General features: G+C 38.7%; 1 protein-coding gene across 10 annotated transcripts in view; it reads right to left on the reverse strand.

Annotated features, from left to right (window-relative positions):
- The window catches only part of NEK5 (NIMA related kinase 5), a 95,463-nt gene continuing 80,876 nt past the window's right edge, over positions 8-14,594 (reverse strand). For all 10 annotated transcript variants that reach the window (XM_047430292.1, XM_047430293.1, NM_001365552.1 and 7 more), the window contains one exon: positions 8-3,615. In XM_047430292.1, the coding sequence (XP_047286248.1) occupies positions 3,345-3,615 (271 nt within the window). In that variant the 3' untranslated portion in view covers positions 8-3,344. The remainder of the gene's footprint in view (positions 3,616-14,594) is intronic.

The following is a 14,594-nucleotide window of genomic DNA, read 5'->3' on the forward strand; positions in this document are numbered from 1 at the left end:
GAGGCTGTCAGGTTTAATAAACTTTTTAATGAATATTTCAGACATAACAAAAAACTGCAGAGCTTCGTACACTTGATTTAAATAATTCTTGAGGGATTTTATAAGGTCATCTTATAGACAAAATTAAGAGACACCAGTGTGGTTATCAATGCTTTCAGAATACTTGTGTTTATGTAAATATACCCCAGAGTCCAAAACTCTGATATATTCATATATATTCACAATGAGAGGATGTCTGTGCCAAATCTGTCAATCAGTACAATAGAAAAGTTAATTATATAACTACAACACGAAACACAAATTTTTAGAAGCAAATTATGTCCTGTAATTTACCCCCCTCCCCGCTGCTCCTCTGCTAACTCATTTTCCTCTTTTCCCACTCTAAATGTAAGGCAACCCTTGGCTTTGGAGAAGCATCTGTTCCAATATTCTGGTGCTATGTGCTCAGTTGTACTATATGCAAATGTTACTAGACACAGAGGAGGTCAAAGTGTTGATACACTTATTGCTACCATTTACAGAATGATCAATTTGATAGCTATCATACATGGCTAGCAAGACACTGATTTTTCTAATAAAAAAATTTTTAATGCATACAGGTCTGGTGAACAGTTTCAATTTAACGGATGAGGCCAAGGCTAAAGCCAGAGTAAAGTAATCAGAGCCATGCCTCAGGAACACGATTTAGCTAATAGTGTGTGTAAAATGGGTAAGGTCTAGAATTAGGGACTAAAATCAGCTGAAAGTGTTGCAGATATGTATACTTATCACAGTGAATACTTCCAGTTTACAGCAAAGAATTCAAAATTGTTGAGTAAAGCTTGGTGACTATTACCTAAAATAGACTAGACTTTAGCCAAGCATCTTTTATCATGGGAACAAACCCGATAACCTGACATGCTTTTTTTTTTTTTTTTTTTTTTTGAGACAGGGTCTTTCTTACTCTGTCACTCAAGGTGGAGTGCAGTGATGTGATCACGGATTATGGCTCACTGTAGCCTCAACCTCCCAGGCTGAAACTAAAGTGATCCTCCCGCCTCAGCCTCCTGAAGAGCTGGGACCAGAGGTGCACACCAACACACCAGCTAATTCTTTTTTTTTTTTTTTTTTTTCTGAGGGGTGGATAGAGATGGGTGTTTCCCTATGTTGCCCAGGCTGGTCTCAAACTCCTGGGCTCAAGCGATCCTCCTGCCTCAGCCTCTCAAAGTGTTGGGATTACAGGCATGCGCCACCACACCTGGCGTGTTCATTTACCATCCTTAAACATTCTTTTTTTTCTTTTTTTTTTTTTTTTTTGCCCTTAATTGACTTGATCTTTGGATGTTTGAGGTTATTAGGGATCATGTTTCATTTCCCTTGCTTTCAAATACAGTTCAGAATAAGGATTACATGAAGTCACTAGCAGTTTTACTATGTCTGAACTAGTCCTGAAAGTAAATAAACATGCACATCCGGAGCACTAAAAGAGTTGCAGAATTAATGATACTCCAATCTCTCAGGCCATGTGTCAGTTGGAAACTAACACAATGGTGAGAACATTTTAAATATTTACAGCCTCATGATGTGAACAAACAGCATTCTCCCTAAAAGAGTAGACTGTAACTCTACACCAAGTTGAAAGAACAGTCTGTCAAACATCAGGAAATAGTCACAAAAAACTGGATGTACCTCAGGTGACTCCTAAGACTTGCATTCTCCACATTTAATGAAAATTATATGAAATGTAAATAGTAAACAGACCTTAGAAATAATCTGACCCACCTTACCTCATCTTTGTTTTCTCAGTTTAACAGTGTATCGGTGAGACATTTTACTTTTATTATAAAGCAGATATTTCAGGCAGAATTCTACCACCCTGAAATGTAACCACCCTCTCCTTCCTAAGCCCAGACATACTCCTTAGTATTTAAATAAACATCTGTTAAGCTCCAGGCCATGTTCAACGTTGGAATTGTTATGATCAATTTTAAAAAGTTAGTTTTCCTACACCAAACAGCTTACAGTCTTAATGAGGAAATGTTTTAGCATTTATTAATTCAGGAAACATTTCTGGCACTGTGCTAATAACTATATAAGAAAATCATTGTAAGATATAAAGACCAGATATAGTCCCTGCCCTCAACCTATACACTTGAAACTATTGGAAACTATTGAAACTATTAGACAAAATGGCCATGGTCATTTAGTGCATAATTAACACACCATGCCTTGTTGTTCTTGCTCAATTGCCTTATTCCTGTGTCAACATCAGCTTCAAAAAAGTGTATTCAATGCAACAAGAAACTTCAAAATCACAGTTTTGTAAAACGGCAGATTATGTTAAATGAGTGAACCTGTATATTGTATTTGTTTTCTATTGCTGTCCTAACAAATTATCACAAACTTAGTTAACACAAATTTATTATCTTAACAGTTCTGCAAGTCAGAAGTATGAAATTGAACTCACTAGGCTAAAATTAAGTTGTTGGCAGGGCTGTGTTCCTTCTGGAGGCTCTAGGGAAGAATCCATTTCTTTGCCTTTTCCAGATTCCAGAGGCTGTCTGAATTCTTAGTTTGTGGCCTTGTCCAACATCTTCAAAGCCAGCAACATCAGGCTGAGTCCTTTTCATGCTGCGATCTCTCTGGTTTTCTCTTTTGTCTTCCTCTTCCACTTGTAAGGACCCTTGTGATTACACTGCACCCAGGTGGATAAACCAAGATAACCTCCCTATTTTAAGGTCAGCTGATAAGCAAACAATTTCACCTGCAACCTTAATTCTCCTTTGCCATATTTGCAAACTGTGGGGATTAGGATGGGACATGTTTTGGAGGGGGCATTGAGCCACATTACTCTGCCTACCACATATATTAGCTGAAAGCTTTTTTTTTTTTTTCTTTTTTTGAGACAGAGTTTCGCTCTTGTTGCCCAGGCTGGAGTGCAGTGGCACAATCTCGGCTCACTTGCAACTTCCATCTCCTGGGTTCAGGTGATTCTCCTGCCTCAGCCTCCCAAGTAACTGGGATTACAGGCATGCACCACCATGCCCAGCTAATTTTGTATTTTTAGTAGAGACGGGGTTTCACCATGTTGGTTGGACTGGTCTCAAACTCCTGACCTCATGATCTGCCTGCCTTGGCCTCCCAAAGTGATGAGACTGCCCGGCCTAAGATTTCTTAATAGAAACTTTAAAGTAAAAATATTAATGGCTATATTCAAAAGTTCTACTTCCTAAATTGAAAGAAAAATTAATAAATCCTTGAGATTACTAGAAAACCCTTACAGTAAATGAGCATTTATGACTTGTACCCAAATAAATACTATAGGTAATAGACACTAACTTATTACTTAAGAAAAAGTACAATAATCACACTTGTATATTTTGACTGGTTGTTGATGTTCCTTGGTCTTCATCAGTAATACAAATGTGGTCATTAGATGTAGTAGAAATATTCTCCAAGCCCTCCCTTAATTCTTCAGATTTCTGCATACTTATCCCCTCTCTTTCTCTTGACTTTCTAGAGTCCTTAGAGGTACTGGAGGCCTCTTCTGTTTTTTCTTCCCCTTTGAAAGTAGCGAGTTTTTCTAAGTATTCTACTACTTCATCTCTCAACTCATCTTCAGATTCTTCAAAATTTCTGAAATAATAAGCAGTAAAAATCAGCATTATGATATGAAAGTACTGAAGAATACATGTAAAAACTCGTTTCCCTTTTCTCCATCCCCAGTTGAGCAATATAAAAGTTGCATTTTCACCTAGGTTTTTCTAAGCATGATAAACAGCTAATGTTGGGAGAATCAGTCTTCTGTTGAGTTTTACATTGTGTTAAACACCCTTTATTATATTTATTAATGTCCATCATCTAATGTTTAAGAGGAGAGGAAGAGAGAATTAAAAAAAAAGAAAAAAACAATTGCCGTACATCGAGCTCTTACTATATGTCCATCAATATCCTAGGGTACTTATACCATATTCCACTTAATACTAACAACATTTTGAGGTAGACATTATCATCAAATTATAAATAAAGAAGCTAAGGCTCAGAGAGGTTAAAAAATGTGGCCGGGCGCGGTGGCTCACGCCTGTAATCCCAGCACTTTGGGAGGCCGAGGCGGGCGGATCACGAGGTCAGGAGATCGAGACCATCCTGGCTAACACGGTGAAACCCCGTCTCTACTAAAAATACAAAAAATTAGCCGGGCGTGGTACCGGGCGCCTGTAGTCCCAGCTACTCGGGAGGCTGAGGCAGGAGAATGGCATGAACCTGGGAGGCGGAGCTTGCAGTGAGCCGAGATCGCGCCACTGCACTCCAGCCTGGGCGACAGAGCGAGACTCCGTCTCAAAAAAAAAAAATGTGTTGAAGGTCTCACAGCTACTAATTCATAGAACCAGGAATTAAAATTGTGTCTAAGACTGCAACATTGGTATTTTTAGAAAGGAAAGGGAATAGATCAATAAGACAATCTGCACCAACCTAAATTAAACCTAAAAGTAACTGCACCAACCTAATATTTAAGTAGCAAGTATGAGGTCAGGAGTTTGAGACCAGCCTGGCCAACATGGCAAAACCCCTTCTCTACTAAAAATACAAAAAATTAGGCATGGTGGCGCACACTTGTAGTTCCAGCTACTCAGGAGGCTGAGACAGGAGAATCACTTGAATGCAGGAGGCGGAGGTTGCAGTGAGCCGAGATCGCACCACTGCACTCCAGCCTGGGAGACAGAGCGAGACTCCATCTCAAAACAAAACGGAACAAAAAAAGTGGCAAGTGGAGGAGATTGAGAAAGAGCTGATAAGAGCCAAGAAGATGTGTATCGTGGAAGCCAAAGGAGTAGCCAAATAGGATGAGGACTGAGAAATGATTACCTGACTTGCCAATTTCAAGGTAATAGATGACTGTTGAAAGAATATTTCAGATGAGTGCCGTGCAGCAGGAGCCAATGTACAGTGGGTCCAGAAAGCAATGGAGATTAACAAAGTGGTGACAGGTGGGGACTACAGGTGAGCACCACTATGCCCAGGTTTTTTATTTTTAGCAGCTAGGAGGTCTCACTGTGTTACCCAGGCTGGTCATAAACTACTGTGTTCAAACAATCCTCTCACCTCAGCCTCCCAAAGTGCTGGGAGAGCTACTCAGGAGGCTGATGCAGGAGGATTGCTTGAGCCCAGGAGTTTACAGTTGTAATGAGCTATGATCATGCCACTGCACTCCAGCCTAGGCATCAGAGCAAGACACTCATCTGAAAAAAAAAAAAAAAAAAAAGTGGTGACAATGAATTTAAACTCCTCTTTCAGCGAGCCTAACTCCGAAAGGAATGGTATTATTTAGAGAACATGGGGGCAATGGTTTTTGGTTATTGTTTTTAATGGGAGAGAGTTGGGCATGTTTATATGCTGAGGAAAGGAGGTAGTAGATATTCAAAACAGGAGACAGGTGGAATAACCAATAGGAGCCAGGTCACTGAAAAGAGGCTGGGTTTTAGAGCACCTGCAGAGCATGGGCTTTCAGCAGGAAGAGGGACAGTTTTTCCTAAGAAAAAGAAGATAGGGAGAGAGAAGGAGAGAAGGACTCATGGATATAGAGAAGTTATGGAGCTAGAAAACTGATTCTGCAGAACGCGTACTATCTCTGTGAAGGAGGAGGCACAGTCACACGATGAGTGTGTGTGGATGGGAGTGAGCTGAGGGATGAGGGTTTGGAATCACTGATACACTGGGAAGGAAGCTGACCAGGCTTAGGATTGCCAGTCATCATGGAGGACCCCACTAAAACTGGAGACCATAAATTTGGGTGGACCAGTAAGTGCAACTCCCACTTACTGTTACCATTCCTGAGATATGTGCTTTACACAGATCTTTCCTTTGTCTTTGTTCCTCTACTAAACTATGCTGTGTCTAGGTATAAATTTATTTTCGTTGTTGCTGCTTGATAATTGTTTTATTTCCCAGATATGATGATTACTGGCTTCAAATAATTATAGAAAGTTCACAGCTGGAATTGATTTGCATATTGTTTTCTCATATTCTTTTCTTCTGGAACTCCTTTTCATATACATTTGACTTCATGCCTCTTAACTTCTCTGTCACATTTTCCATCATGTTTTTACTTAGACCTATCTTCCAGTTACTAACTCCTTTATTATCTGCACCTATTCTGTTTTTTAAACCATCAGTCGAATTTTAATTTCTATTCATAGATTTTTTTCAACTTCCAGAAGTTCTAGTGAATTATAAAAATTTTTGCTATGGTCTGAATGTTTGTGCCCCTGTTCCCAATTCATGTGTTGAAACCTAATCCTCAATGTGATAGTATTAAGGGGTGGAGCCTTTAGGAGGTGATGAGGTCATGAGAGCACAGCCCTCATGAGTGGGATCAGTGCCCTTATAAAAGAAGCCCAAGGAAGCTTGTATGCTCCTTCCACCAAGTGAGGACACAGCTAGCAGGTGCTGTGTATGGAGCCAAAAGCTAGCCCTTACCAGACACCAAATCTACTGGCACTTTTTTTTTTTTTTTTTTTTTGAGAGAAATCTCACTTTTGTCCCCCAGGCTTGAGTGCAATGGCTCAACCTCGGCTCACTGCAACCTCCGCCTCCCAGGTTCAAATGATTCTCCCGCCTCTACCTCCCAAGTAGCTGGGATTAAGGCACCTGCCACCATGCCCAGCTAATTTTTCTATTTTTTAGTAGAGACGGGGTTTCACCATGTTGGCCAGGCTGGTTTTGAACTCCTGACCTCAGATGATCCGCCCACCTCAGCCTCCCAAAGTGCTGGGATTACAGGCGTGAGCCACTGCACCCAGCCTCTACTGGCACCTTGATCTTGGACTTCCTAGCCTCTAGAACTAGAAGAAGTATATTTCTGATATTTTTGTTAACTCATCTAAGGTATTGTGTTAGAGTAGCCCAAACAGGCTAAGAGAAACTTCCTGCTCTTTACCGAGGGACTATATTTTTCTTATGTTTGGATTCCTGAATTTAATTAAATTAAATAATTTTAAATATACAGTATTATAGTCTTCCTAAGATAATTATATTATCTGAAATTCTTTATGATCTAATCAGCATTTGTTCTATTTGCAATCTCTCATAGTGGATTCTGTTTTTAAATGTTCAATTGTAAGTTCATCTTCACCAGTGCTTCAGTGAAAAAATCCAACATTTATCCCTCCAGAATGTCTTATATTTACTTCTAAAAATCCCAGGAGTATTACCACCCCTTAATGTTAATTTTAGTGTTAATTTCTCAACATAGATGTTTCCAGCCCATACAAGTATTGTAATTCAAGCTCCAAACACAAGTGAAGTCAAATCTATGGTTATAAATGTCTTAGGGAGAATTTTTCTTCCAGAGATTGGGCTAAAACAGACAAGCCACATTACTGGTATTTTTTTTCTAGACCACACTTGCTCTTCAAGGGTCCCAGCTAGCAAGAATGGAGGGGGACCTAAGGAAGAAGACCCTATTAGATATTTAGGAGGTATACAGGAAGAGGCAGGAAAGGAAGAAAAAGCAATTTTAAACCCTCCAAAACAAAATGAGCCCACAAACTAAAATTCTAACACCTGAATAAATCTAATGGTAAGACAGATGGCATAAAATTAATAAAAGAAAAAAATTGGACCATGAACTAACTCCAGATGAAATTATTTTTTATGGAGGATTTTGATAAGTCTCCTAAAGTAAGTATGCCCAAAAAGATAAACTAAAGCAAAGCATTTAAATTTTTTAATTATGAGAAATCATTATGCATTAATGAAACAAGACCATATAAATATAAGAAAAAATAATTATCTTGGGCATGAAATATATAATCATTTAAATTAAAAACTCAATAGATGGTACCCAGATAGGCTTAGAAAACAGTATTCAAGGATTCATCCACGCCTGTAATCCCAGCACTTTGGGAGGCTGAGGCAGGTGAATTGCCTGAGGTCAGGAGTTCGAGACCAGCCTGGCCAACATGGTGAAACCCCATCTCTGCTAAAAATACAAAAATTAGCTGGGCGTGGTGGCACAAGCCTGTAATCCCAGCTACTCAGGAGGCTGAGGCAGTAGAATTGCTTGAACCCAGGAGGCGGAGGTTGCAGTGAGCCGAGATCACACCACTGCACTCCAGCCTGGGCAACAAGAGCGAAACTCTGTCTCAAAAAAAAAAAAAAAAAAAAAAAAATTCACCTGGAAAGGAACAAAGAAGAGAATAAAAAATATGAAAGTACAATTAGGTACTACTGGAGATAATTGAGAAGATAAAAAATATATCTAATATCTAATTGGAGAATCAAAATGGATGCAATAAGAAAAGCAAATATTAAAATTTTCCAGAACTAAAGAAAGTCATGTGTTCTCAAAAGAAAGTGAAGCAAGCAGGATAAAAGACATTTTTAGACCTAGACATACCATAGTGAAACATAAGAATGTAAGGAATTAAAAAAATTATAAAAGTATCAGGGAGAAAGTTAGCATCCCTATAAAGGAAAAATAATGAGATGATAGTTGATTTGTCATCAACAATAATAGAAGCCAGGAGAAAAAATAGTTGTCAACCTAAAATTATATGCCCAGCAAAATTACTGCTGAAGACTCAAGTCAAAACAAAAACAATCTTTGATATGAAAAGAATAAGAAAGTTTACTACTCACTGACATATCATAAATAATTACTAAAGAATATACATCAACAAGAAAAAAACTGAAATCAGAGGGAAAGCACGGGATAGGAAAAAAATGGCAAGTTCAGAAAAATGATAAACTAAATTGGCAAAGTGAGTTACATTTGAGAATATGTATATATTAATACATATAATAATATATATAATATTTTTGTTTGAAAAAAGGTAAAATTGGATGAAATGATTTGATATCTGAGACTTAAAGTATTCCACACTTACAAAAAAAAAAGTGTGGGGGACATGAAGACAGAAAAGAAACAATGTTGATAATTGTTGAAGCTAGATGATGGATACATGAGGGTTCATTATGCTGTTCTCTACTTGCACTATAAATGTTTGAAATTTTTAATAATAAAAAAGCTTTTTAAGTAAAATTATACTTCTATATTAAAATATCAGAATAAAAGGGTTTTGTGGTGATTAAAATTGTGTTTTTCATATTTGGGAGGAAGGAAGGAATACTGAGCAACTTTTGAATTTGTTAGATCAATTTGTAGGTAGTGTATAAAAGCTAACCATTAAAAGATTAGAAATATAATCTGTATCTTCAAAATTATTATGGGGGGAAAATTAATATAGAAAAGTTTGTCAACCAACAAAAGGCTAGGAAAGAAGGGTAAAAAAGAAATAAGAAAAGATAATAAATAGAAAACCAAAATGGTATGGTAGAGTGAAATCCAAATTTGTCAACATTATAATAAATTTTACTAAATTAACATTAAAAGACATTTTCACATGACAAGGAGCACATAAACCAACTACATGCACTTTATAAGAAATACAGCATAACAAAATCACAAAGAAATGATGAAAATAAAAGAATAGAAAAATACATATTATAAAAGTACTTAAAAAAATAAAGAAGTTAGAATAGTAATATCTGTATCAGACCAAATAGAACTTAATGCAAACAGCATTAATAGGAAAAAAAAGTGACAATGTAAAAAAGGGACACTTTACTTTTTAAAGGACACTTTAAAAAAAATCAATTTTTAAAGTGATTAAGGCCGGGTACAGTGGATCATGCCTGTAATCCCAGCACTTTGGGAGGCTGAGGTGGGTGAATCACAAGGTCAGGAGTTCAAGACCAGCCTGGCCAAGATGGTGAAACCCTGTCTCTACTAAAAATACAAAAATTAGCCAGGCATGGTGGCAGGTACCTGTAATCCCAGCTACTCGGGAGGCTGAGGCAGAGAATTGGCTTGAACCCCGGAGGCAGAGGTTGCAGTGAGCCGAGATCACACCACTGCACTCCAACCTGGGTGACAGAGCAAGACTCCATCTCAAAAAAAAAAAAAAAGAAAGAAAAAGAAAAAGAAAAGAAAAAAAAGTGCTTAAAAAAATACATTAGTCAGAAATTTCCAACTTGAATCATACCATTAAGAAAATGAACACAAATACCCAGATGGTGAGAAAATGTTAGCAAAGCAGATATCTGACAAAGAACTAGTAGCAAAGATATATAAATAATTTTAAAATTATAAAGACACCACTTCACACCTAGTAGATGGGTTAAAAATGTTAAAACTGACCATACCAAGTGTTGGTAAGGATGTTGAACAACTGGAACTCTTACACACTGTTCACAGGAATGTGAAATAGAATAACCACTTTGGAAAACAGTAAGTTAAACATTTACCAACTGTGATGGTTTATACAGAGTGTCAACTTGATTGGATTGAAGGATTCAAAGTATTGATCCTGGGTGTGTCTGTGAGGGTGTTGCCAAAGGAGATTAACATTTGAGTCAGTGGGCTGGGAAAGGCAGACTCACCCTTAATCTGAGTGGGCGCAATCTATTCGGCTGCCAGCACGGCTAGAATGTAAGCAGGCAGAAAAATGTGAAAAGAGAGACTGGCCTAGCTTCGCAGCCTACAGCTTTCTCCTATGCTGGATGCTTCCTGCCCTCGAACATCAGACTCCAAGTTCTTCGGTTTTGAATTTGGACTGGCTCTCCTCTCTCCTCAGCCTGCAGATGGCCTATTGTGGGACCCTGTGATTGTGTGAGTTATACTTAATAAACTCCCCTTTATATTCCATTACTTCTGTCGCTCTAGAGAACCCTAGTACACCAACCATACAACTCCGCCATTCCACTCCTAGGTGTTTGCCCACAAGAAATGAAAACTTAGGTTCACATACAGAATATACACAAATATTCATAGCCAAATGAAAACTTAGGTTCACATACAGAATATACACAAATATTCATAGCCCAAATCTGGAAACAACATAAACGTCCCCAACAGGTGAATCTACAAACAAATTGTGGTATATCTACACAATGGGATACTACTGAGCAATATAAAGTAAATGAACTATCAATATATACAACAACATGAATAAGTCTCAAAATTATTCTCAAACAGTAGGGTTTCTAGGCAATTTAAGGGTGTTGTTTCTCTGTAGTCTAAGCCAAAGCCCAAGATAGAGAAGGGCTTATATCAAAAAGATTTGTGGGTCTGGCTGTTATCTAACGAAGTGCCTCCCCATAAGAGTTGCAGAGACCTCTAAGATTTTTGAAAGAAATATATATACAGAAGCATAACCAGGTTGGAATGAAAGGGACACAGACAGTATGAAACGAAAAGAGGCCTTTGGATTCCAAAATTCTGCTGGCAAGGAGGCTAAGAAAACTCCTTCTTTTCCTCCTTCCTTTGCTAGACAAGGTGATTCTAATGTCCATATGGAAAAATAAGCAAAACAAGCCTGAAAACTCTAAGGAAGAGTATTTAGGGGACCTAGCCCTCAAAATAATAAACTATATTATAAACAATGTGTTTATAAATCAATAATTAGACTAGAAAGAATAGGAATTGAATGCAAATACGTATAAAAACGTACCATAACAGTAGCATTTCAAATTAGAATAAAAAATCTTTTTTTTTTTTTTTTTTTGAGACGGAGTCTCTCTGTCGCCCAGGCTGGAGTGCAGTGGTGTGATCTCGGCTCACTGCAAGCTCTGCCTCCCCGGTTCACGCCATTCTCCTGACTCAGCCTGCCGAGTAGCTGGGACGACAGGCACCTGCCCCCACGCCCGGCTAATTTTTTTGTATTTTTAGTAGAGATGGGGTTTCACCGTGTTAGCCAGGATGGTCTCGATCTCCTGACCTTGTGATCTGCCCTCCTCGGCCTCCCAAAGTGCTGCCGCGCCCGGCCAGAATAAAAAACCTTTTTAAGTAAATGGTGCTGGAATAAGTGAGGAGTTATTTGGGGAAAAAAAAAAGTTGGGGGCCGAGCACGGTGGCGCACGCCTGTAATCCCAGCACTTTGGGAGGCCGAGGCGAGCGGATCACGAGGTCAGGAGATCGAGACCATCCTGGCTAACAAGGTGAAACCCCGTCTCTACCAAAAATACAAAAAATTAGCCGGGCGTGGTGGCCGGCGCCTGTAGTCCCAGCTACTCGGGAGGCTGAGGCAGGAGAATGGCGTGAACCTGGGAGGTGGAGCTTGCAGTGAGCCAAGATTGCACCACTGCACTCCAGCCTGGGCGACAGACCAAGACTCTGTCTCAAAAAAAAAAAAAAAAAAAAAAGTTGGGACCTGCACGGTGGCTCACGCCTGTAATCCCAGCACTTTGGGAGGCTGAGGCGGGTGGATCACGAGGTCAGGGGTTTGAGACCAGCCTGAACAACATGGTGAAACCCCATCTCTACTAAAAATACAAAAATTAGCCAGCCACGGTGGTGTGCGCCTGTAATCCCAGCTACTCAGGAGGCTGAGACAGGAGAATCGCTTGAACCCAGGAGGTGGAGGTTGCAGTGAGCCAAGATCATGCCACTACACTCCAGTCTGGGCAACAGAGCGAGACTCCATCTCAAAAAAAAAAAAAAAAAAGTTGGATCCACACTTTGTAGTGTAATATGAATAAAGTTAAAGATGAATAAAATATTTTACTATAGAGAAAATTAAATAATAAATATATTTTTAAAATCCTGGGATTGACAAGGTACAGTGGCTCATGCCTGTAATCTTAACCCCTTGGGGGGCCAAGGCATGAAAATCACTTGAGTCTAGGAGTTCAAGACCAGCCTGGGCAACACGGCAAGACCCTGTCTCTACAAAAAAAAAAAAAAATAGCTGGGCATGGTGGTGCATGCCTATACTCCCAGCCACTCAGGAGGCTGAGAGGCAGGAGGATCACTTGAGCCCAGGAATTCAAGGTTACAGTAAGCCATGATCGGGCCACTGCATTCCAGCCTGGGGAACAAAGTAAGATCCTGTATGTTTAAAAAAAAAAAAAAAGAAGAAGAAGAAGAAGAAAGAGTTTAAGACCAGTCTGGGCAATATGGTGAAACCTCATCTCTACAAAAAATAAAAAATAAAATAATTAGTCAGGCATAGTGGCAAGTGCCTGTAGTCCCGGCTACTCAGCAGGCTGAAGTGGGAAGTTAGATTGAGCCCAGGAGGTCGAGGCTGCAGTGAGGTGCGATCATGCCGCTGCACTCCAACCTGGGTGATAGACGGACACCCTGTCTCAAAAAAAAAAAAATCCTAGAATCTTTGTTTTATAAAATAATTGATTAATCTAACTAAACAAAAATAACATGGCACAAGTCACCATAAACAAAATAAAAGGCAAAAACCAAGGAAAATATTTTTGAATCATGTTACAGATAAAAGACTAATTTCCCTGAAGTGCAGAAAGTTCCCAAATCAATACAATGTTAATACCCAAATTTTAAAAATGGCCCATGAACGAATTTTCCTGAAAGAGGAAATAAAGATGGCTCTTTAGCATATGGAAAGATAACCTCACTCACAAAAGAAATGCCAATTAAAACTATCATGAACTGACTTTTATTTAACCTATCAATTATGCAATAATCCAAAAATCTGACAACACACTGAGCAAGAGAATGGGGAAATAGGCACTTCTAGATACTGATGTTAATAGGTGTAACCTCTGTGAAGGACAATTTTATGATATCCAATTTACAAGTGTACATGCTCTTTGACCCAATACTTTTTGTTCTGGAAATTTAAACTATACATATACTAGTTTTTGAAACAATAATATGTATTCAACATAATACTGTTAAATAAAAAAAAAGCAAATTATAGGACAGTGCACTATGGAACCATTTATATAAAAAGACACATTTACACAAGAAATATATTTTTGCTTATATTTGTATGGAATTCCTCTGGAGAAGTATACACAAGAAGCAGATTAGATTGGTTGACTGTAGGGAGGAGGACTGTGTAGCTGATGTAAAGAGTTAGGTAGTAGGAAGACTGAAAAGGGTCTACTTAAAAAATTTGGGACGTATTTTAAAAGTAAATCATGGGCCAAGTGCAGTGGCTCATGCTGTAATCCCAGCATCTGGCTCACAGTTTACTTTATGGGAGGCCCAGGTGGGAGGATCACTTGAGGCCAGGAGTTCAAGATGAGCCTGGGCAACATAGCAAGACCCCGTCTCTACAAAAAACAAAAAAATTAGCCGGCCATGGTGGCATGCTACACCTGTAGTCCCAGCTATTCTGGAGCCTGAGGCAAGAGGATCACTTGAGCCCAGGAGTTCAAGGCTGCAGTGAATATGATCATGCTGCCACACTCCAGCCTGGGCAACAGAGAAAGATCCTGTCTCAAAACAAATGTTAAGTAAATTATAATAAAATTTTAAAAATTCAAAGGACTCCAAAATTTAGAACTAATAAGAGAGTTTAGTAAAGTTACAGGATACATCAGTAGTGTTCTATACAGTAGCAGTAGTTCTATACATTCCTCTTGAAAACACAAGAGGAAAAAAGGGAGAGATTTGTTAAAGGACAGAAAATTACAGCTAGATAAGAGGAATAAATTCTAGTGCTCTATACCACTGTAGGATGACTATAGTTAATAGTAATATGGTATATAGTTTTAAATCACTAGAAGGAAGATATTAAATGCTCCCAACACACAGAAACAATAAATGTTTGAGATGATGGATATGCTAATTACCT

The sequence above is a fragment of the Homo sapiens genome, chromosome 13, assembly GCF_000001405.40.
Source record: "Homo sapiens chromosome 13, GRCh38.p14 Primary Assembly".
NCBI classification, from domain to species: domain Eukaryota; kingdom Metazoa; phylum Chordata; class Mammalia; order Primates; family Hominidae; genus Homo; species Homo sapiens.